Genomic DNA, 23494 nt, shown 5'->3' with positions numbered 1-23494 from the left:
CCGCTGGGAGTCCAGGCAAAGCAGCACAGCCCGGGGGAGCAGAATTTCCTAGGCAGAGTCCCTCCCTGACCCTGGCGTCCTCCCAGGAGAGCCCCACCTCGATGAATACACATTCAAGGACTCTAAAATACTAAGCAGTTTCACAACCCACTTACTGTGCATAAGCCTTGGGTGGGGAGGCACAGAACTTTCTGGCAGGCATTTAGACCACAACAATAAAACACCTATAAACCCCTATGTCGGCATAAAGAATTCATGCTGGACTTCTCCTAAATAAGGAAGGAGTTAGCCTCCACCTATTTTGATGAATTGTATTGCAGCAGTCTCCTGACACATGAGGCTGGCAGTGGCTCTGAAATATCTTGTATCATTTCTTGCCATTTGAAAGCGAGAATGAGTTAGATATGGTTCCAGTACATTGAGTTCTCAGCGATGTTTTGAATGTCTCTGCTGTTAAACAATCTTATAGAGAAAAGAAGCACCCCAGTCAAGAACTCAAAAAATGTCCCTGGATAAAAGGACATGTGGAATGACAGGTTATTTCAGAAAGCTCAGGGAGAGGAAGGAATCAGGTTCTTCCTGGGATTAAGGAGTTGCCTGAAGTTGCCTCCAAAACCCTTGTGCACTGAATAAGAGTCCTAATTGTGAAGTTCAAAATCTTGTTCAGGAAAGAAAATGGAAGAAAAATGGGGACCATTGGCTCTGAAATTTCTTTTAGACAAAAATCCCAGCTCTGATGAGAAGCAGCCTGCTTGTAAATCTGCCTGACAAAAGTGTGAAATGGTCCCCAGCATGCCTATGCACATGCAGCTGCTTGTTAAAACCAGAGCATTTGCCCAACTGCATAATAGTGAGCAATGCTTGCAACACCGAAGCGCTGAACTGGGCCTCCCCGGCTAGACCAGCCCTTGGTCAATTCCAGTTTTCCTTGTTTCCCCTCGTCAGCTCCTTTTTCTCCTTCCCACTTTATCCCAATCTCTTTCAAAAGGATTAATTTCTGTAACACTTCAGTAGAGAGAAAAGGGCTTTACTTGGCGGCTTTGGGTTTACAAGATCGTTGGTGAACAATCAGTCTGTCTGGCAGGAAGGTACGCCCACAAACATTACAGGGAACCAACTGGCTGTGGGCACTTGTCCAAGCAGCTTCATTTAAAGCATCAAGATCATAGAAGCCTTTGGCTGGAAAGTTAAAGGAAAAAAGCAAAAAGAAAAAAAGAAAAAAAAATACCAAAAACAAAAGGGAAAGAAAAAGGTAAAATGGATCAGTTTTTATTCGGGAGAACCATATTCTACTTTCTATGGAAAATATTTTCAGGAAATACCTGTTGACTGAGTATTTTAAACAAATCATATTACTTTTGCCTCCAAAAAAGAAAGGGCTGCTCGCTCTTTCAAGTGTTGAATAAAATTAGCTGGGAATCAGACAGAGGCTTTTCACTCTTTGGATTTTAAAAAGGGAAAGACATTGTTTTACATGGTATGATATGCATTCTTCACTAATTATTAACATCTTTGCATACACATTATTATTTTGCAAATATAACTTTTGGCCTTCTTTCAGTTGACTCTAAATATAAGCTTACAAAGGGGAATGAGCATGTATTCGTATTTTCCTTTTCTGTAATCCTTCAGTGGAATGTTTTTAGAAGCCAAAACTGACAGTTGAGAGTGAATTTAAGATGAATTATATCCTAAAAACTTATCATCTCTTCATGGTCATAAACTCAGATATTCTTTAAGTAATCAAAGTGGAGAATACAAACAGAATAATCTGACAAAAAGATACGTCCTTAAGAAAATAACAAAGACAGATGAGAAATGTATAACCTTCATTGGCAGAGCATAGGGAGAAAAAAGCATATGGCTTTATTTTAGAGAAACAATGTGGCATTTAGCTTTAATAAACCTTAGTTAAAATAGAATGATTTCAGTACATTAAATTGACTATGTCTTAGAACCACTGAAAATAGGCCCCCAAAATGTAACAAGGCACTCAAAAACATATTACTTAGTTTTTATCTTTGGCACAACATAGATTACTTCGTTAAAGCTTAGGCAATTCTCATATGATTTCTATCTAATGGTTCACACAACCACAGTGAACCTTAAATTTTTTAACATGTCTGCTCCTAATACTCACTTTCTTGCTCCATGGAAATTTAAATCCCAGCAAAATCTAGTATTTCTTCTTTGGATAAAGCAAATGTCACTGTCTATGTGGGATATGAATGTGTAGTTTCAGTGCTTTGAAAAATGAGAAAAGAATGACACTGACTTTCTCGTTACTCATGCGAGTTTTAAAATGAACTCAAAAATTCCAGAGTAGTCACTGACTCTCACTTGAAGGTGATTCACCACATTTCTAAATGTTTTTGCATAGGGCCTTGACTTCAGATCAGGAAGAGGGGTTATTTGAACCCTGTGACTACAATGAGTTCATGGGATAAAAATGGTAATATGAATTCTTTTTACCTAGAGAGGAAGGGCATCCTCAGAGATAAATAACATGGAAGTGAGAGGAAGACTGCAGGGAAGTGCAGTTATAGGACCCATCTTTTCCATCTGTAGGCAGTAACAGAATAGTGAACCACCAGGGCTTTCAGACCAATCATTCCTCTTACTTCTAGCCTGCTGGTAGTTATGGTCAAGCAGAGAAAGTGATAAAGATCAGAAGGGAAGGAAACATATTTTGACACCAAATGAGAAATGCTGGAAAGAGAGTTTCAATGAGGTAAACAACCTGTTTATGGAAAATGCTCTAATTTCAGTAGCTGGTCATTTTCATCTTTAGCTGTTTTCCCACCTGTATGAAAAGTCCTCTTTTTGACAAGCACTGTGAGTAGCTGGGATCTAGCAGGATCTAGAATTTATCATACAATCTAGGGTCTACTTTGTGGGTTGTTATAAAACTCTCCTTGTGTCACATCTCTGACACAAGTGCTTTGGACTAATTGACATTAAATGACCCCCAAGGTACTTTTCAGCATTGCAAATCTACGGTTACATAGGAGAATGGATGAATTGAAAGATACTCCTCTTAAAACCAACATTGTCCTGTGAGATGGTTTAGGGGATCTACTGAGAAAATGACAATGGTAAAAATATGATAAGCAAGTCTGAGCTTGCATGGCAAAAATATTTTCTTAACTATTCTCATACCCTAAATGAATAAACATGAGGCTTTGTGATGAGGCGAAACATGGCAGTGTAGTTTCAGTTTCATTTGGTTTGCACCATGCTTTACAAATGATTAAATGTGAAAAATTCTGGACATTTAAAATAGATGTCTAGATTTCTAGTTTGTTTTGTGTTATTGAAAGATATGAGTACATTGGACTAAATTTCTTAATGATAACGCCAGCTGGAACTGGGCAGCTGCTTGTCTCCTATAGAGCGAGCTGATGCTCCACAGCGCATCATAGTCCTTACCTCCCCTTTGGTGCACACATGGACCAGTTTACTCAATGTTATAACCTGACTAGTGGACCTGGTGAAAATTCGAGTTTGGTATCCCTGCTCTATGAACACCAAGACACATTCATATTTGGAAACATGACTTTGGATGTTCCCAAAGGTTTTTTTTAAGTTTCATATTTTTTTAAGTTTTATTCATTTTTATTTTTTAAGTATTTTATTATTTATTTTACATTCAAAGGGTTTGATGATGTATGAAAGAAACTTTTGGAGAATACAGCAAATTCCCATAGGTCCCTCTCATGCACAGTGTTGCCAGGACATAGTGTCTTTATGTCTCAGCATCAGAAGATAATTCTTTGGACAGGCATTTCAGAACTGTTTTTCTTATTTGTCTGTAACCAAGGCAAGAAATGTTGTTGATTTTGGTCGTTTGAACAAGTGAAAAAAGAATACTTCTGCTCTTATTAGTTTAGAGAGAAAAGTCTCCCCTTATGCACTCAAATCTTTTTTCTAGGAACTTACCAGTAATGGTCCTGACTTCTGGTTTTTTAGGTACTGGTCTCCTTAACTCTTTAGGCAACAAGTTGTTTTCATTATGCCATTTTTTCAGACATTGTGGCTCATGAATGCTAATAGATTTTGTTCCATATTCACGACCACAAATGTAGCAAACAACTGCTGGTGGACGCCGTATCATTGTTGGCTGCAAGTAACATAAAATAAATCATGAGTGAACTCCCATTCACAATTGCTACAAAGAGAATAAAATACCTAGGAATACAACTTACAAGGGATATGAAGGACTTCTTCAAGGAGAGCTATAAACCACTACCCAAGGAAATAAGAGAGGACACAAACAAATGGAAAAAACATTCCATGCTCATGGATAAGAAAAATCAATATCGTGAAAACGGCCATACTACACAAAGTAATTTATAGATTCAATGCTATCCCCATCAAGCTACCATTGACTTTCTTCACAGAATTAGAAAAAACCACTTTAAATTTTATACTGAACCAAAAAAAGAGCTCGTATAACTAAGACAATCCTAAGCAAAAAGAAGAACAAAGCTGGAAGCAGCACACCACCTGACTTCAAACTATACTACAAGACTACAGTAACCAAAACAGCACGGTACTGCTACCAAAACAGTTATATAGACCAATGGAACAGAACAGAGGCCTCAGAAATAATGCCACACATCTACAACCATCTGATCTTTGACAAACCTGAGAAAAAATAAGCAATGGGGAAAGGATTCCCTATTCAATAAATGATATTGGGAAAACTGGCTAGCCATATGCAAAAAACTGAAGCTGGACCCCTTCCTTACACCTTATACAAAAATTAAGTCAAGATGGATGAAAGAATGAAATGTAAGATCTAAAACCATAAAAACCCTAGAAGAAAACCTAGGCAATACCATTCAGGACATAGGCATGGGCAAAGACTTCATGACTAAAACACCAAAAGCAATGGCAACAAAAGCCAAAATGGACAAATGGGATCTAATTAAACTAAAGAGCTTCTGCACAGCAAAAGAAACTACCATCAGAGTGAACAGGCAACCTACAAAATGGGAGAAAATTTTCTCAACCTACTCATCTGACAAAGGGCTAATATCCAGAATCTACAAGGAACTTAAACAACTTCACAAGAAAAAAACAAGCAACCCCATCAAAAAGAGGGCAAAGGATATAAATAGACATTTCTCAAAAGAAGACATTTATGCAGCCCAAAAACATATGAAAAAACTCATCATCACTGGTCATTAGAAATCAAAACCACAATGAGATACTAGCTCATGCCAGTTAGAATGGTGATCATTAAAAAGTCAGGAAACAACAGATGCTGGAGAGGATGTGGAGAAATAGGAAAGCTTTTACACTGTTGGTGCAAGTATAAATTAGTTCAACCATTCTGGAAGACAGTGTGGCGATTCTTCAAGGATCTAGAACCAGAAATACCATTTGACCCAGCAATCCCATTACTGGGTATATACCCAAAGGATTATAAATCATTCTACTATAAAGACACAGGCACATGTATGTTTACTGCAGCACAGTTCACAATAGCAAAGACTTGGAACCAACCCAAATGCCCACCAATGCTTTACTGGATAAAGAAAATGTGGCACATATACACCATGGAATACTGTGCAACCTTAAAAAAGGATGAGTTCATGTCCTTTGCAGGGACATGGATGAAACTGGAAACCACCATTGTCAGCAAACTAACACAGGAACAGAAAACCAAACACCCCATGTTCTCACTCATAAGTGGGATCTGAACAATGAGAAGACATGGACATGGGGAGGAGAACATCACACACTGGGGCCTGTTGGGGGCGGTGGGCTAGGGGAGGGATAGCATTACGAGAAATACCTAATGTAGATAACGTGTTGATGGGTGCAGCAAACCACAATAGCACGTGTATACCTATGTAACAAACCTGCACATTCTGCACACGTATCCCAGAACTTAAAGTATAATTAAAAAAAAAGAAAAAATGTCTGTTAGATAAAGCTTAGATTTGGAAATCATATTTTAAAATTATACCACATTTAAGTTAGCTGGAAAATCAACATGATTTAAAAAAATCCCCACTAGCCTGGTGACTTTATCTTTTTGGCAATTAAAAGATTAAACTATATTATTTGAGTAACTGGGATTGAGGTGAGGACATGGCTTCAGAGGAAATAAAAAAGAGCTAACCAGAATTCTTCATATTGGTACTATATAAATTATATTTTCTCATTTAATATTGATTGATTGCCTTCTGACTATTTTATCCAAGTTACTATGCTGGGAGAATACAAAGATAAATCAGGCATAATTCCTCTTCTCAATAACACCAGGCTTGAGTACACCCATATATCTGAGAAGAAAAGTAATAAATGTCAATGGAAAGTTTATAACAGACATTGTTAACACTATTATGCCCGCCCACATTGGGATCATGTCAACAACTTTCTACTGCAAGCACTTGTGATTCTTTGCCTTTTTTGATCTGGAGTAGGCTCTGCCCACAGCAGAACAGCTCATCAATTGCAGATGAGAGTTAGCGAATAAATACCCAGTTTCCTCACCAAGGTTGATTCCATATAGTCTTCCAGAAGTCCCCAGAGTGATTGTACCACAGTCGCTTGTTAACACACTATCTAGGCTTTGTTCTCTTCCCTGTCTCTCTTCCTATTCCTTTACTGGGGTATCCTGAGATCACCTCCCAAATAAACTACTTGAACTCAAATTCTTAGTTTTCTTGTTCTTAGGAGAACCAAATCTATGGGAGAGTTAAGGATAAGATGCAATAGGGAAATTCAGCTTCTGTCTAGGATATAGAAAAGGACAAGAATCATTGCTTCCACCTAAACAATGAGAACAAATTGAATAGCTTACAGAATCATAATTTTTGAGCCCATTGGAGACTCAAAGTTGCAAGATAAATAGATGAACTAAAAGGCCTACCTAAGTTTGAACATAGATCAATAGTACCAAGAAAAAGCCTCCAAGCTCCAAACTTTATATGAGACATAATTTTCTGCCACAAGAAAAGGGCAGAGTAGCTGAGCATAAGCCCCTGTAAGGTGCAGGCATGCAGGGACCGTCTGTGTATACTCTCCTACCCACCATGTCTTACACTCAGTTATAGGAGGTGACAATCTGACACTGGGGAGAGGAAGGGGCATTGACAGAAGCCTCTACCATTTTAGGAACCCAGGGCCTGTCTAAATCTGAGGATAGAGCTGTACAAAAGACTTGCACAGAGTACAAATAAAACTTATAAATACAGAAAGGCAATTTAGAGAAGGAGAAAAACATTGATTTTGTTCTGGATCTGTTGAGTTTGACATAATTGTAGAATTTAAATAAATAAGTCCAGCCAAAACAGGAAATACAGGCCTGCAAATTCAGTATTCATTTATTTCAGAGCTATTCACACAGAAAAAAAATGTTTAAAACCATGAAAATTCTATAGATAGGAGTATGTAAAGAATATATGGAGAAAAATTCTTGGGAGAATATTTATAGTAGGGATATTGGACAAGGGAAATTATAGCCAGAAAACACAGAGAAAGGTTCAAATTTGCAGTTAAAGAAACAGGGCATGCAGACAAAAGATTCTGGAAACATTTCTGGTTTCCAGAAATATGGTGTCATCAGCCTTGTCAGATGCTGCAAAGAGTGATGAGGGGCTGAGTAAAGGCTATTAGATGGAGTTATCAGTGGATTCCATACCAGTGACTTTTGAGAGGTTAGTTCCAAAGGAGTGGTAAGGGTAAAAGCTAAATTGTTAGGAGTTAAAAATTATGTCAAGGAAGAGAACAATACACTTTCAAAAAACTTGCAGAAAAGAAACTTGAGAGACAAGCAAAGTAAAAGAAAGCTTTGTTTTGTTGTTGTTTATAGGATAGGGATGCCTTAGGCAGAGAGGAAAAGAGTATAGGCCCACAATAAAATAGGATAATTAAAAATTACAGAGGAGGCAGTAGAAGATGAGATTAAGGGCACAATTGGAGGTGTCAGCTTCTGAGAAAAGGGAAAAAGGAAAAGTTAGAGAAAGGGAAAAGGTGTTTGTAGAGAAGTGAGGAATTGGTGGTGCTCACATACATGGACTTAGTCTTCTAAGTATGAGATAAAGTGATCTTCAGAGAATGAAGAGATTTGAATTCTGGGAAATAGTGAAAGATGCTGGGATTATGCACTCTGGGGAATGTAGTAATGATTCAATTAGGGAAGAATATTCACTGAATAATGGAAAAGACCTAGTTACCTGAAGCTGCAAGAAATTTTGTTGGAATTAAATGACTTTTTTTCAATATGCTCTTTAGTAGCACCAGGTGGCATGAAAACAGAAATAAATTAAGCTGATTGTGTGGTCTCCATTGGGGAAATAAAACTTGGTTAATGTGTATGTCTTAGAATCAGCCTACTTCTAACTATAACTATTGGGACTTTCACTTTTCACAGACCAATATCAAAACCAGAAGGAAACACATTTATGATTTCTGATTACCAGGCATAAAAAGAGATTTTAGATGAATAAATCCACAGTTAACATAGACGAAGCAAAAAGGGAAAATAAAGTGACTCCCTGGATGATTGAAGTTTTTATAAAAAGGGTATTATTTGAAGTGGAATTTTTTTCTATTATTTTATATTAACTTATGCCAATAAACTGTCTACATTTATCAAAATAACTAAATAGTTATTTATCCTTCTTTTTCTTAGCCATATGGTAGGTTCTAACAATTCAAAAGTGGCATGAAAAATATTTGAGAAATTCAAGAAAGACCTAAGAGAAAGTACAAAGCATAAGGAAAAATTTTCAAGATGTTTAAATGTTTCTTACTATTTTTTTAACATGTTTATTTACTGGAAAGGTTAATTAAATGCAGATTTTTAGTTTAAAATGAGAAGTTATTCTTTTCATTTTGAAAATAGTGAATTTAATAAAATTCCACATGGAAAGTATGAGCCAAATCCAGTATTTAACCACACATATAAGCACAATAAATAGCATGGGTCATAAATGAAGACATTCGTGTCACCGTCAGATTTCCTTTGGAAGGAAAGTTAGAAGAAAACAGGCAGACACAGAGGTCAGAAGACACATACTGAACAACTGAAATGGATGTGGGAGAAAATTAATACCATAAAAAGGTGAAGATGTTCTATATTACATTTTCTAAAGCTTCTCCCATGCTCTATATTTGTGGTTGAACTTCAGTTGAACCTGCAATATACTCCATATTCTTAGGTTTTGAGCATCTTACTCCTAAGCCATGCTCTAGTGAAGCGCAAACAACCCAGCCACAGCAGAAGAGAAAAATACATCCACGTGGGTCTGAACAGAGATAAGAAGACCTATTTTATTTTTCATTGATTTTACAATTGTCAGTCTGAAACTTCCAGGGAAAGCTGAGCAATCTCCAACTTGTGGTTATTGCCACTGCCCCAGCTGCCAAGGTTTTCCTATTTGGCCTCTATCTCCAGTCCAAGGTTTTCCTATTGGGCCTTTTTCAGATAGAAGTGGATATGTGGGGGATGGAGAGAAGGAACGGAAAGAAGAGACTGTAGCTCTGGCAGAACCAGCAGAAGGCCCCCTCTTAGCAAATGTGCAGTCTGTAGCTTTCAGTGGCATGGCATAACAGAGTAAGGAGGGCAGTGGAAGGGTGGCTGAGGAGGTTATGTGAGGGCAGGGGGCCCTGTCTATGGAGGCCCTTGCCGGGACCAGCCAACTCCAGGAAAGCGTTATCCAAGAAAGGCAAAGAGGAAGTCGGTAAGTCTGAGGTTGCTGAAGAGCAAAGAATTAGATCAACAGTTTTCCCTGTAACATTTCAGATAGATAGTATTTTGCTGATGTGGCATTACTTTTCTAACATCAAGGTAAAAGACTTTTTTTACAAAAAGTTAGTCACTAAATCTATGTAAGTGTGCATAAAAATCTATCAGGGCTCATCACAATTTTGTTTCTGTGCTCTCAGTTTCCTGGGAAAGTTGATTTAGGCTAGATACAGACAGGCACTTGAACATTTTAGGGAAAACTTTTAACTTGAATCCACTAACTTTTCATATGTTTTCAATTATTTTGCTGGCCACTATTTGGAATTATCATATTATTTTCCACACAGCATCTTTTTCTTTCTGTTAATCTCTTTTCTCTGTCAGGAACACTTCATGTTCAATGCTTTAGGCCAGGTTTGTGTAACACACAGGGAAGTGGATATTTAACAACTTTTATCCTAATTATTGTATATAACCTGGCATCCATCCCTTCATTGTTACTGATTGAAATAAATAGTCATAATATCACTATTGAAGCAGGGGAGAAAGATTAAGGACCAAGAAAAGAGGCTGATTTGTTGGAGAACCTTAAGAGAGGTTTGGATAAAAGAGGAATGGACATAGCTGTTTCAGAAAACCGAGACTAGAATACCTACATTTCAGATAGATTCAGATTTCTCTAGATGACCTCTCTGATAGCACAGGCTAAAAGGAAACCACTGTGAAATACACAACTCAATAACTAATATTGTTTATAGAAAGAAGTATGACAATTGGTCAGAAGGAAAAAAATATTCCTAGCACTAAATTTATTGCATGAATTTATGAATTTTAATAAAAGACATGATGAAAACTAAAATGGAAGTCATTACTAGCAGTTTTACAAAATATCAGAAACACTCCACATTTGTTCATTTCTTTTTTTTTTTCTGAGACGGAGTCTCGCTCTGTTGCCGAGGCTGGAGTGCAGTGGCGCGATCTTGGCTCACTGCAAGCTCTGCCTCCCGGGTTCACGCCATTCTCCTGCCTCAGCCTCCCGAGTACCTGGGTCAACAGGTGCCTGCCACCATGCCCAGCTAATTTTTTGTATTTTTAGTAGACACGGGGTTTCACCGTGATAGCCAGGGTGGTCTCGATCTCCTGACCTCGTGATCCATCCGCCTCGGCCTCCCAAAGTGCTTGAATTACAGGCGTGAGCCACCGCGCCCGGCCCACATTTGTTCACTTCTTATACTAATTATACAGAAGATACGAAGTGATAACTTATAGTGTGAAAGTATAGTTCTGTGATGTTATTTACAAGGGAGTTCAGAGAATGTGATCCAAGCATCACCTCATGAAATAGAAATTGGTAAGAAATGTTTATGGAGCAATAGCCTTTGAAAATCTGATTAGTGTAACAGTGATCTCCCCAGAAAAATGCATATGTATACAGAACTGTGGATATGATATCGACTGATTGGTAGATTCCCTAAAACCTGTCTATTAGCCCCAGGAAGTGAGCTATTGGGCCTTTAGACAGAGCCAAACTTTCTCTTCCAATAGATGATTCATTGTTAAAGGGGCCATTTGGCACTGTTTAAATGGCTCAGAAAGTTCTGAGTTGAAGCATTCAAGAACTTGGCACCATATCTGGCTTTAGGGTGATTCTAAGCACTGTTTTGCCTAGAATAGTCTTATTATATACCTGTTGTCTTGGCTAATATTAATAGCTGCTCTTTTACTCCCTGAAAAGTCCTTGTATAATAAATACATGATATAGCCACTCTACCCCTGATCCTCTTTGAAAAACATTAGTTAATATAAGAAATCAAGGGATGAAACAACAAAAAAGCTAAAAAATATAGAGATTGTGACTCAAAGAGTGGCAATTAATCCACTTAAATCATAGAAGGCAATATAACTATAGAAATTGTAGAGGCTGTGCCCAGTGGCTCTTATCTGTAATCCCAGCACTTTGGGAGACCAAGGCAGGTAGATTGCTTGAGCCGAAGGGTTTGAGACCAGCCTGAGCCTGAGCAATCTAGTGAGACCCCATCTCTACAAAAAATATAAAAATTAGCTGGGCATGGTAGCACGTGCCTATAGTTCTCAACTATTAGGAGCCTGAAGTGGGAGGACCACCTGAGCCCAGGAGGTTGAGGCTGCAGCGAGCTGTGATCGTGCCACTGCACTCCACTGTGAGCACCAGTGTGAGACCCTGTCTCAAAAAAAAAAAAAAGTATAGAGAAGAGAATATAAAATTAATTATCAAAATTGGCAGGGGAAGGAGCAGTACAAATAAGTTAATGACATTAAATTCCTCACTTTTCATGTGAAACAGTCAATTGAAGCAGTGTAAAATTAAAGTTTGAAGTTAATGTTTTGCAAATACTTTAATAATTACTGTTTTTAACTTTAGTGGGTCCTTTTAAAAACTAAACTTTTAGTGAAGAAATATTATCCTACAGTTCAGCAAAATTATTAGTTTCACTTTGGTGCCTTTTTGTCAAATGCAAGTAATTTAAATTTATCTCTACTGATAACCTCACTTCTATGAAAACATATACGTGTCTACTTACATATGTCTGTGTACACAGATGCCTGGAATGATACTCACTAAGGTCAAATTAGGGGAGTGTGGGGTAACTTTTATACTTTCCTAATGGCTTGGATTTTTATAATGAATTTGTATCATTTTTATAATAAAAAGTAATAAAAAAATCAGCTCTGGAGTCAAAAGCTAATCTGGATTGGGTAATAAAATCAGCCTTAAAGGTAAAATAATGCAGACTAAATTATTTTCTGCAAATTCCTTAAATAACTCATAAAAGATATTCAAAGATTATATATATAATATAGTTTAATATTATAACAAACTAGTAGTTGGAATTAGAATTAATATTAGGAATGAATACAGCTTTGCATAGCATAAAATTACAATGCTGTGGCATAATAAGAAATGCATATTTGGTCTCTGCACCTACTTCCTGACACAGAGTTCTCAAAACCCTTGTAATTTCTTGAGTGACAGGGGTGATAGGAGCTTTTAAAATTATATTTGGTCCTTTTCCCTGTTTCTGAAACAAGAGCTTCTAAGACTTTTGGAATCCCCGGGAGTGATGAATGTCTTTTTGTATGCTAATGAATGACTGGTGGCTAGGACCGCCCAGACAGCTTTAAGATTCGGGCTGGTTGCCAGAATGACCAAGGCCTGATCAGAGGGCTGGAAATTTCAGCTCTACTCGCTGACCTCTGAGGAGGGAAGAGGGGCTGGGGATTGAGATAATCACTAATGTTCAATGATTTAATCAATTATCTCTGTGAAATGGAACCTCCATAGAAACTCCAAATGAAGGGTTTCAAAGAGCTTCCATGTTGGCAAATCCATTGAGGTGCTGGGAGTGTGGTGACCCCAGAGAGGTCACAGAAGCTCCACACCACCCCTAACCCCGTACTTTGCCCTGTGTACCTATTCATCTGGCTGTTCATCTGTATCATTTGTAGTAAACTGGTAACATAAATAACACGATGAAGTGTTTCCCTGAGTTTTGTGAGCTGTTATAGCAAATTATTAAGCGTGAAGGGAGGATCATGGGAAATCCAGTTTTTAGCCAAGTTGACAGAAGTGTGAGTAACCTGGCGTCCCAGTAGTGGAGATTGGCTTCTGAAGCTGGGGGGCAGTCTTGTGAGACTGAGCCCTCAACTTTTGAGGTCTGCACTAACTCTGGGACAACACGCAGTTGTCTGGAGAACTAGAGAACTGGTTGTTGCTGTGGGGGAAAAAATCCACACATTTGGTGTCAGAAGTGTTGTCAATAGAAAAGGTTTTCCTTTTAAATACAAAATAAAAATACGGTACTTTAAGTTACGTTATTCCAATACTATTTTATTTTGCTAATTGTTTATGGTTGAATACATATCAGTTAAATACTTGTATGATGAAACATAATTGAAATCCTAGAATTCTGCTCCATTACTTTAAAAAGCAGTAACAAATGTCTGGAAAAATAGTCTGAGAACAAGATTTAGCATGAGTTCATTTCCACCATAAGATAATCCTAAATCCAGCTTTTACAGATATTTTAGTCTAGGCTGTTTCCCACACCTGAACGCATTAGTCAAAAAATGAACTCACAAGTAACCAAGTGCGGCTGTATGGTACTAGTCATCTTATTTTGAAAAGTGGTGGTCAAAAGGATAATTTGGTGGGTGGATGAAGCAGGCCATCCTTTGGATCCTGTATTGCCCATTCTAGCTGGCTTGACATATTGCCATATAATTTTCATCTTCTCAACTATCTCCACCCCCCGCCTCTTGACTGTTTTGTGCAAACTTGGCCTATCTAATATGATGTCAGTAATTTTATGGTTCTCTGTGGCTACAGACTAAAGTCCAACACTTCATATAGACTTCAGCCATGGCCAGTCTTAGCCCCATGAATCACATCTTTGAGCCACGCCAAACTGGACACTATTCCCCATGCTAGAGGCCACAGTCCTCAATTTTGCTGTCTCCATGCCTTCATTCATCTACTTCCTCCAGCACCAAGCTGGAGGTTGTGGGGAATCCCAATCCTTAACTCTCCTTAGTTATGGAGGCAAACATATAAACTATTAATTTACAAGCCAAAATGTGTAAGTGTCATGATATGGGGACATAGTGCCACAAGAGTCTGAAGCAGAAAGAAAGGGAAGTGTTTTGATCAGAAGCCAATGAAGTGGATAATATCTGAAGTGGGTTTATTGAATGGCAGAACTGTACAGGAGAGAGGAGAACTCCCTCAGCCAAGCTGCTAAACAACACGACCCTTTCAACAACTGTTTAATAGTACTGTAGTATGTGAACATGAAAGCTATAATGCCCATAATGGAAACAAGAAGGCTGCTTAGAGGAAGTGTACAAGTGAGGATCAATCTGTTCCACATAGGATGGAAACACGAGTGGTTAGACCTTGAGAAAACAGTTGAAGGTCGCAACATGTTCTAAGTGTCTCCCCTGGCCCTCTGCCTTTCCACCTTGGTCCAGATCCCAGACTTCATCCTCCTGTCAGAACAGTGGGGTGGAGATTTGACAAATAATACTAAAAGGAAGGGCTTTCTATAAGAGAGCTGCATCAGTCAAGTTAAGGTGTTATGCTGTTTTGGATAGAGAGAGGGCAATTTTGGGGATTGTGTTGAGTCCTGAATGCAAGGATGAGGACTTCATATCTTTGAGACACAATCAGATTAAGAAATGGGCCAGATGGGACAATTTATAATTTTTTATTTTTTTAGACGGAGTCTTGCTCTGTGCCCAGCCTGCAGTGCAGTGGCACGATCTCGGCTCACTGCAAGTTCTGCCTCCTGGGTTCACGCCATTCTCCTGCCTCAGCCTCTGGAGCAGCTGGGACTACAGGCGCCGGCCGCCATGCCTGGCTAATTTTTTTGTATTTTTAGTAGAGACGGGGTTTCACCGTGTTAGCCAGGGGATGGTCTCAATCTCCTGACCTCGTGATCCATCCACCTTGGCCTCACAAAGTGCTGGGATTACAGGCTTGATACAATTTTTATACACTAAACCATCTTGGTTATCCCATATTGGAGAAATGCAAATTGGTTCTGCCTACACTAAAGCTCTGAAGTCACAGTAAAAAAACCATGAATGTGGCCAGGTGTAGTGGCTCACGCCTGTCATCCCAGGGGAGGCCGAGGCGGGCGGATCACCTGAGGTCAGGAGTTCAAGACCAGTCTGGCCAACATGATGAAACCTCATCTCTACAAAAATACAAAAATTAGCTGGGCATGATGGCAGGTGCCTGTAACCCCAGCTATTAGGGAGGCTGAGGCGGGAGAATCGCTTGAACCTGGGAGGCAGAGGTTGTAGTGAGCCGAGATGGCACCATTGCACTCCAGCCTGGGAAACAGACTGAGACTCCGTCTCAAAAAAACAAAGAACAAAACAAAACACGAATGCAACTGGAAACATCCATAAATAGAGCAAGAAAGTTGAATACAGTCATTCAATGGTCTATTACTGAGCAATAAAAAAGAACTACTGCTACTTGCACCAGTGGATGAAACTCAGAATCATTATGCTGAAAGAAACCAAACACAAGAGTACACACAGCATGATTGTATTTATATAAAATCCAAACTAATCTGTAGATTAGTGGTTGCCTGGAGGCTAGAAGTGGAAGGTGATAAAGGAATATAAGAAATTTTGGAAGGTAATGAAAATGTTCTATGTCTTGGTTATGGTGGTGGCATAACAGGTTTCTAAAACCATCAAAATTCATTGAATTGCACATGTTTAAAGGATGCAGGTTATTGTTTGTAAATTATTTCTCCATAAGGCTGATTTAAAAACACTAGTGCAGATACAGTTTAGTGGAGTATTTTTGCATTGCCATGCTCATGCAATGCAGTCAGTTAAAAGTCAGCAGTACACGTTGTAAAAGAAATTCCAGAATCAAGTAATGTATTTTAGTTATTTTTGCCAGGAGCTAGGGAATATTTCAAATGATCTCTATTCTAAACTCTTTAATTTATCTCCCAAGAAGTTTTCCTAGTTCAAAAAACAAAGCATATAACCATAAAAGAAAACAAATAAAAAGACCTAGAGAAAATTAGAAAATATTTTATCAAGACTTTTTTTTCAGGACATTAAATTTTTTGTAGGAGAAAGTCCATTAGGAAGCAACCCCATTTACATAAGATTTCATCAAGAAAACTCAACCCTAGAGTTTCAGGACCTGAGCCCTGCAGCCAGAGATGAATAACATAAAAGCAGGACTCTTCCTCTGCACCCACGTGCATGGCATCTTGTCTGTTTGAAACATAACCGACCAGTTTCTTGGCTAGCCATATGTAGAAAGCTGAAACTGCATCCCTTCCTTACACCTTATACAAAAATTAATTCAAGATGGATTAAAGACTTAAATGTCAGACCTAAAACCATAAAAACTCTGGAAGAAAACCTACGCAATACCATTTAGGACATAGGCATGGGCAAGGACTTCATGTCTAAAACACCAAAAGCAATGGCAACAAAAGCCAAAATTGACAAATGGGATCTAATTAAACTGACAGTGTGGCGATTCCTCAAGGATCTAGAACTAGAAATGCCATTTGACCCAGCCATCCCATTACTGGTTATATACCCAAAGGATTATAAATCATGCTGCTATAAAGACACATGCACACGTATGTTTATTGCAGCACTATTCACAATAGCAAAGACTTGGAACCAACCCAAATGTCCGTCAACGATAGACTGGATTAAGTAAATGTGGCACATGTACACCATGGAATACTGTGCAGCCATAAAAAAGTATGAGTTCATATCCTTTGTAGGGACATGGATGAAGCTGGAAACCGTCATTTTCAGCAATCACAAGGACAGAAAACCAAACACCGCATGTTCTCACTCATAGGTGGGAATTGAACAATGAGAACATTTGGACACAGGGTGGGGAACATCATACACTGGGGCCTGTCGTGGGATTGGGGGAGGGGGAGATAGCATTAGGAGATATACCTAATATAAATGACGAGTTAATGGGTGCAGCACACCAACATGGCACATATATACATATGTAACAAACCTGCACGTTGTGCAAATGTACCCTAGAACTTAAAGTATAACTAAAAAAAAAAAGAAACATAACTGACCAGTTTCTTATCTTCCAACATATGAGGCACTTCAAAGTTCATTAGTATGTAAATGTGTATGTGTGTATATATGCACAAAACACATATAAATTCAGTTAGTCCTCATCTACAGTTGATTTTAGGGATACTGAAAGGCTCCCCTTGTGTCACACCATTTATTCCTTTATATTTTCCTTGTGCTTGCCCTTGTCTACCCTCCAGCCTACAATTATTTTCTTTAGGGTCATTCAGCTCAAAAAGAGAGAGCTGAGAACTTTGGCTCTAGAAGGGCACAAGAACAATTACCCATCTGCTACCAGGGAATAAAGGAAGCCTCCTGCATTCACACATTGGAAGGCAGTAATTTGCTGGATTTATCTGTAACCATTACAAAAGCAGTAAGCCTGTTCTTTTTGATGAGGTCATTTTAGTGGGCCTTTGCCAAAGAGCCACATCAAAATGTAAACTATGTTATTACTAAATATGTATGCAAATGAAACGCCTGTGTCCTTCTCCCAAGTAACATGCTTTGTACATTCCTTGGAAATATTTTTTTAAATGCAGAAAGTTTAATGGTCTTTTTTTTTTTTTTGTAGGTTGCATCATCCGTACATCAAACCTACATTTTGTAGGTTGCATCATCCCTACATCAAAATAGCCATATTCCCTGTGTTCATTTGAGGTTATTCATTAACCTAAGAGTCAAAGAGAACTCAGGGCACCCAGAGGTAATAGAACATCCTGCAAGGGAAATAGCCCCTGTAAGCCTGAACCGTGACTTGGAGCAAATCAGAAAAAGGCACTCCTACCTTCAGACACTTTCCAACCATACGGTTGTAATCATTAATCTGTAATAACACAAGTCACAACATGTAGAATTAAAAAATGGTGACCACGGGGGAGATAGACATGACAATCCTTACCCTGTCTCACAACTGGGCCTAGAACTGACCATATATGTCAATGTGTACTTTGTCTCTCAGATGGAGTGTGAATGGTAACCAGTATAGTTTGCTAGTCCATAAATATCTGGGATGAATCAGATGCTTTTCAATTTCAAAAGCCAATAAAACAATAGGATTCTAGATTTTGATACTGCATTTCCATTGTGAGCAGAGATAAACCAGAGACCTCTGCTGGAAACACAGCTGAGACTGATTCACGTGAGGCCCACACTAAATGCAGATGCATCTGGAGGAAAGGGCTGTCCCTCAATAGGTGATTTAATTGAAGCCCAGATGTTGTTGCTCAGAAGTATTTTCTGATTACTGACAATGTGCCAGGGACTGTGCTGGGTACAGAACTGAGAACTTGCCCTAACAGTGGGAATGACCATATTGAACTCACTTTATTTACTTTCTTTTCTTTTTGCCCCTTTCATCTCAGTCCAACCCCTTTATTTAGAAAACATTTTTTAGCTTTGTCCAAAGCTCTATCTCTGAGACAGTATCAGGTTGACAGATCCCTATTTGGCTTGTGCTGAGCCCATTCACTTTAAATTACTCAAGATACAGAGGCAGGGTGAGAAGGGGACCTGCTGAGTGGAGGAAGCATTCTGACTTCTCTGCCCTCTAACATGTTTGAACTCAGACTGATTAGTTTTGAAAACTACTCTCCAGATGTGCAGCCTCCCTAGGATCCTGGACTTTTGGTCCTTAAAAATTATCAGAAGGTTTGGCTCCAAGGTGTCTGATCCAGAAGAATAGCTTCATCGTTCCAGAGACTCCCACAGGTGATCCAAATGGTAGTTGGCTGCTGGGGTGAGTTACCCTATGCTCAGGTATGAAGTGTGCATGCCCCTGGTCCCTGCACACAGCTATCACACAAACATGTGGCTCCTTAAGCATCCGCAGCTGTCTTCTCCTGGCCCAGGCATAGGTCTTTACAGCATCTCACCTGGTCTACCCAATGCTACTGCCTCCTCTTGGCTTTATACTCTGGATTTCAGGTGGCAAGCTGATGGACCAACAGCCATTTCAACCAACAGGCATGTTTTACTTGGTCAGCACAATGTTCTTAAAAGTTTTAAATGTGAATATCTTTAGGTGAGGCTTACTCTCTAGTATACCACAAGCTCTACCACTCCCTGTTGCCCTCTATGCAGCCTGTTCTGCCCCTGAAAGCATTTGAGCTTGTGACTCTGAGCTGCCTATTTTTCTAATCCCTCTCCTCACTCATATCCCCAATAAAAGGTATTTTCCTTATATCTCATTTCTAAGAAATGAACTAACCTTATTGTTAATTCACATTAATGTGCCAGTGACTAAAAGGGAATCTTTGCATTTTAGCTGAGATCTCCTGCAGAGTCAGTGTTTTCACTCGAAAGACTGAGTCATTGACTGAGGAATTAAAACAAAACTTGCCAGGTAGTAGGAGAGGTATTTTAGAGAGAAAAAAAAAAAGGTGACACAGAGATTGTCACATTGAAGATTCCTTGCTCTTTTTGAATTTAAACATGATAACAATTACAACAGAACTTGACAAGAGGCTTGAAGCCTATCCTTAGGCAAAAGAAGCTGTACTTTAAGGCATGAGACCGATTTCCAAGACGCTGTGCACACAGTAAGCATGGGTAATCCTTGAGTCATTTACTCTCTGGGGGATTTTTGCTTTCCCTGCTCCCAGCTGGATCCCAGGCTGTCAAAAACAGGGCACATCTTGCCAAGGTCTGAGGGAATTATGTGATTGTGTAGCTATTTGAATGTGTGTCATTCCATCAATGAGTGTTTCTCTTTCTCCATGATAAAATTAAACTAAAAATTTGGGCCTTAGCTTCTGTTTTAGATTTTCCACACTCCTGATTCCTTCCATTAAGCCAAATAATTGAGATTTCTGTGGTAAGTGCACAGGGCATATCATAGAATGCAGGAAGTTTGGATGGAGGAAGTAAGAGTGAGCGTTCCCCTCCCTCCATGCTTGGTGAAAAAGGCTAAAACCTCTTTTATAAATCCTTGTGTATGTTGCAATATTAAACATGTCTGACCAAGTGGCATAATGGCAACTAATTATCAGCATTTACTGACTAACAGGCCCTGTACTAAACACTTTACATGCTTTATTTCATTTGTTCTCATAATAACCCTCTGGGCAGAGCTCAATGCCCCTATTTTATAAACCAGGAAACTAAAGCACACAGTGATTACTAAGTGGAAAAGCTGGTTTCTGTTGCAGAGAGTTGGGTCTCCTGTGAAGTGGCAGGGAGAAGCTGACAGATAAAGTTTTGTTAGGCACCATCCCAGGTCCTTTGCAGTCATCCTCTCATTCCAACCTCTTATGGTAGAAACTGAGGCTTGGGGAGGTTAAGTAACTTGTTCAAAGGTATTTGATTTAACTGTGCATCTATGATCTGAATCCAGGTCTGTCTGATTCCAGTTGCTTCTAGAAACATGGGAGATACAGTCATCAGTGGTCAGTGGGGTATCATGCCCTGCCTTACAAGTCCAGAGTCAGCCATTGGATGGGACTGGGGAAAAACTAGCAAAACTCCTGCCTTTGCTCTCCCAACTACCTCAAAAGTTTATTCCTTTGGGTCAAACATTAACTTCTCCCAGATAGGTTTTCAGAATGCAAACAGTCCTATGAAGGATGGTTTTCTGTTAAGTTTATAAAATTATCTTGACCCCTTCCAACAATACCAAGGGGTGGGGGTGCAGAGGTAGGGAGGTTGCAGAAGGTGCTAAAAGGCAAAGGAGATTAGAATATGAGGCGAGGCCACCAGAGACTCATTTCTCCAAATCAGAATTTTGCCTTCAGCCATTTAAAACATAATTTCAACCAACTTGACTGAGACTGAATATATACAATTAAGTTTCTACTCTCTTAGTCATGTCCTCCTACATGCAAAGTATAAATAGCATTTTAATGTATGGGAGTAAATGCATAGTTCATTCCCAAACCTTAACAATTGCAGAGTTTGATTGTCTAGAAACCACTGGTATTTCACATTTACTTCTGGTGTTTTTAAACAATTCTTCCCAAATGTCATATCTGGAAGGATCGTTGTTTGAAATTAAATTGTTTTTGGAAATCACTGGATGCCGTGTAAAAGAATTTCCCAATCCGGTCTGTCTATTGGCCAACCATAAAAGAGTCTGTTACTTGTGATTTGGAGTTTTCTTTTGTTCCTTTTAACCTAAGAAAGATTTGACATTCATTTGGAAATGTTGTTTTTATTAAACTATCTTTATGTATTTAATTTTTTAAAAAGAACTATTGATATTTCCAATGCATGCCTGACATTTTAGTTATTTAATTGTTAATCTTGAGCTACAAAGCTGAAAATCATAGGTCAAAGAATGAATTCCAAAATAGACTCTAATTTGGTCTAGGTTTCTGAAAGGAATAATTTCCTAGCTGAAGGTTTTTTTTTTTTTAATTTTCACATTTGAGATAAGAGCCGTTTCTGCTTTTGTTTTTCTGATCTTAGAAGAACATAGTTGGAAGGTGAAGGGTTTGAGGTATTGATTAAATGTCTTGCCAAATTCTTGTCTGAAATGACTTTCCTTGAAGAAAATGGTTGGAGAATGTTCTTGGTGTTTGGTTCTTGTGCTCATCAGTTTGGATACAGGCCTGACTTTTATGCCAGTTGGCTTCTAGGTCACAGAGTAAAATGGAGAAACAAGGGAAAATGGAAGAAAGACAAGAAAAATCCATGGGCTACGGCAGACACTCAATTTGTCCAGTGCATATAATTAAAGAGATGAAAAAAAATGCTCTCTGACCTGAACTTGGACATTGGGTTTTCTCTAGTGCCTGATTTGTCTACAGCTTATGTGTTAGAGAGCACATTGCTCAGGAGCAGAGGCCAAAAAAAGGAATTTTCCTATAAAAAGAAGACCACCACCTTGGATAGGCCAGAAAGAATTCTAACTTTAAGATATTTTTTAAAAATTTTCCTATCAGAGTTGACCCCGCTCTCTCCTTATCCTTCCTTTCTACTCTCTGCCTCCAATTACTTGAAGCTTTAACATGGGACCAGTGATACCTTTATGTTCCCACTTTCTCTGATTAAGGGTAACCTGGGATATGAGAGCAGCATGGGAGACTTTAAAGATGGGACCATGGCATCAGAGCAGGTGCTTGGGCTGAGAATACTGGAAACTTATTGAGTTCCTGGATTTACTAGCCCTTTCTTCAATTTGTAGGTCATTTCTTTCTATGTATAAGACAACCTTATAAAGTAAATATTAGAAAGAGACAAGAGATGTAAGGGAGAGGAGCACTACACAACATAAAGGGAGAGAAGAAGATGGAGTCCCAAGTAAAGTTCTCTCAATTCCCCACCTATCCATAAGGCTGAACTTATGCCTCACATTGAGCAGTGAGATTCTGTTCATGGGACAGTCACCTCTGTTTCAATAAGGACTCCTTACAGATTGCGTTGCACTGCCTTTGTTGGAGCTTTAAGAATTTTGGGAGAGATTGTAGTTGTTGACCTTGGAATTTGGATTTTTAAGTACTGAAGCTATATCCATTCGCTCATTATATAAAGATTCAGTATGCATGATCACTAGGAAATGTGGATGTACGTGTGTTTGGACTGGAAGCAAGTGATGGGGGAAAAAGGCTTTGAAGACATATGAAATTAAGTTAGATTAACTTTTCGAGAGTATAACTATGTTATGGTTTTTGTTCATTTTACGCCTAAATAATATTTGAATTTATAATATGTGATTCTCTCCTCTCACAGAAGTTACAGTCAGTATTTTTCTTTCTAGAGAAGCAGAAAGCCACATACAGAAGCGCCAATGCAAAGAAAGAGCACCTATTTTTGCTTTGGGCTTTGGGCTCTGGGAGATGTAGTTGTATCTATCACAGTGTCTCTACCCAGCAATATGTGATATATAATTATAAGTCAAGGATAAGTTTTTAAATAATTATATTAGACTGTGATTTGTACAGGTGAGTATTATCCTTTAAATTTTTAGATTAGAAAGCTACATGTCAATTTCACTCATGAGGCTGTTGCTCTAAAATGTGTAACTTTCCCCACCTTCGACACACACATATTCCACACATGTAATACATATACACAAATTCCCTTGGGTTGCCTTCTGGAGCCAACAATGTAGAAGAGAACTGGTCCTGTTACCTTAGTGTTGTGGTCTGTCGATGTGAGAGCCATGGGATCATAGAATGCTGCCCTGATATGCAGGCATGGTTGGCACCAAGGAAAGAT

General features: G+C 38.8%; 1 protein-coding gene across 1 annotated transcript; it reads right to left on the bottom strand.

Annotated features, from left to right (window-relative positions):
• Positions 1 to 1011: 1011 nt before the first annotated feature.
• ZNF475 (zinc finger protein 475) lies at positions 1012 to 23494 on the bottom strand. Its single transcript, NM_001195535.4, has 3 exons — positions 23408 to 23494; positions 3940 to 4120; positions 1012 to 1179 (listed from the first exon to the last, which is right to left on the bottom strand). Exons 2-3 carry the CDS (start codon positions 4112 to 4114, stop codon positions 1028 to 1030), a joined length of 327 nt encoding a protein of 108 aa, NP_001182464.2. The 5' UTR covers positions 4115 to 4120; positions 23408 to 23494; the 3' UTR covers positions 1012 to 1027.

This window comes from Homo sapiens, chromosome 5, assembly GCF_000001405.40.
Source record: "Homo sapiens chromosome 5, GRCh38.p14 Primary Assembly".
In the NCBI taxonomy this organism is placed as follows: domain Eukaryota; kingdom Metazoa; phylum Chordata; class Mammalia; order Primates; family Hominidae; genus Homo; species Homo sapiens.
The sequence above is the reverse complement of the archived record's forward strand: the minus strand, read 5'-3'. Positions and strand labels throughout refer to the sequence as shown.

Coding starts and splice junctions, on each gene's coding strand:
- ZNF475 (NM_001195535.4), bottom strand. CDS start 4,114: ATGATACGGCGTCCACCAGCAGTTGTTTGCTACATTTGTGGTCGTGAA. Junction 1,180..3,939: donor AGAAGTCAGGACCATTACTG/GTAAGTTCCTAG, acceptor TTAACTTTCCAG/CCAAAGGCTTCTATGATCTT.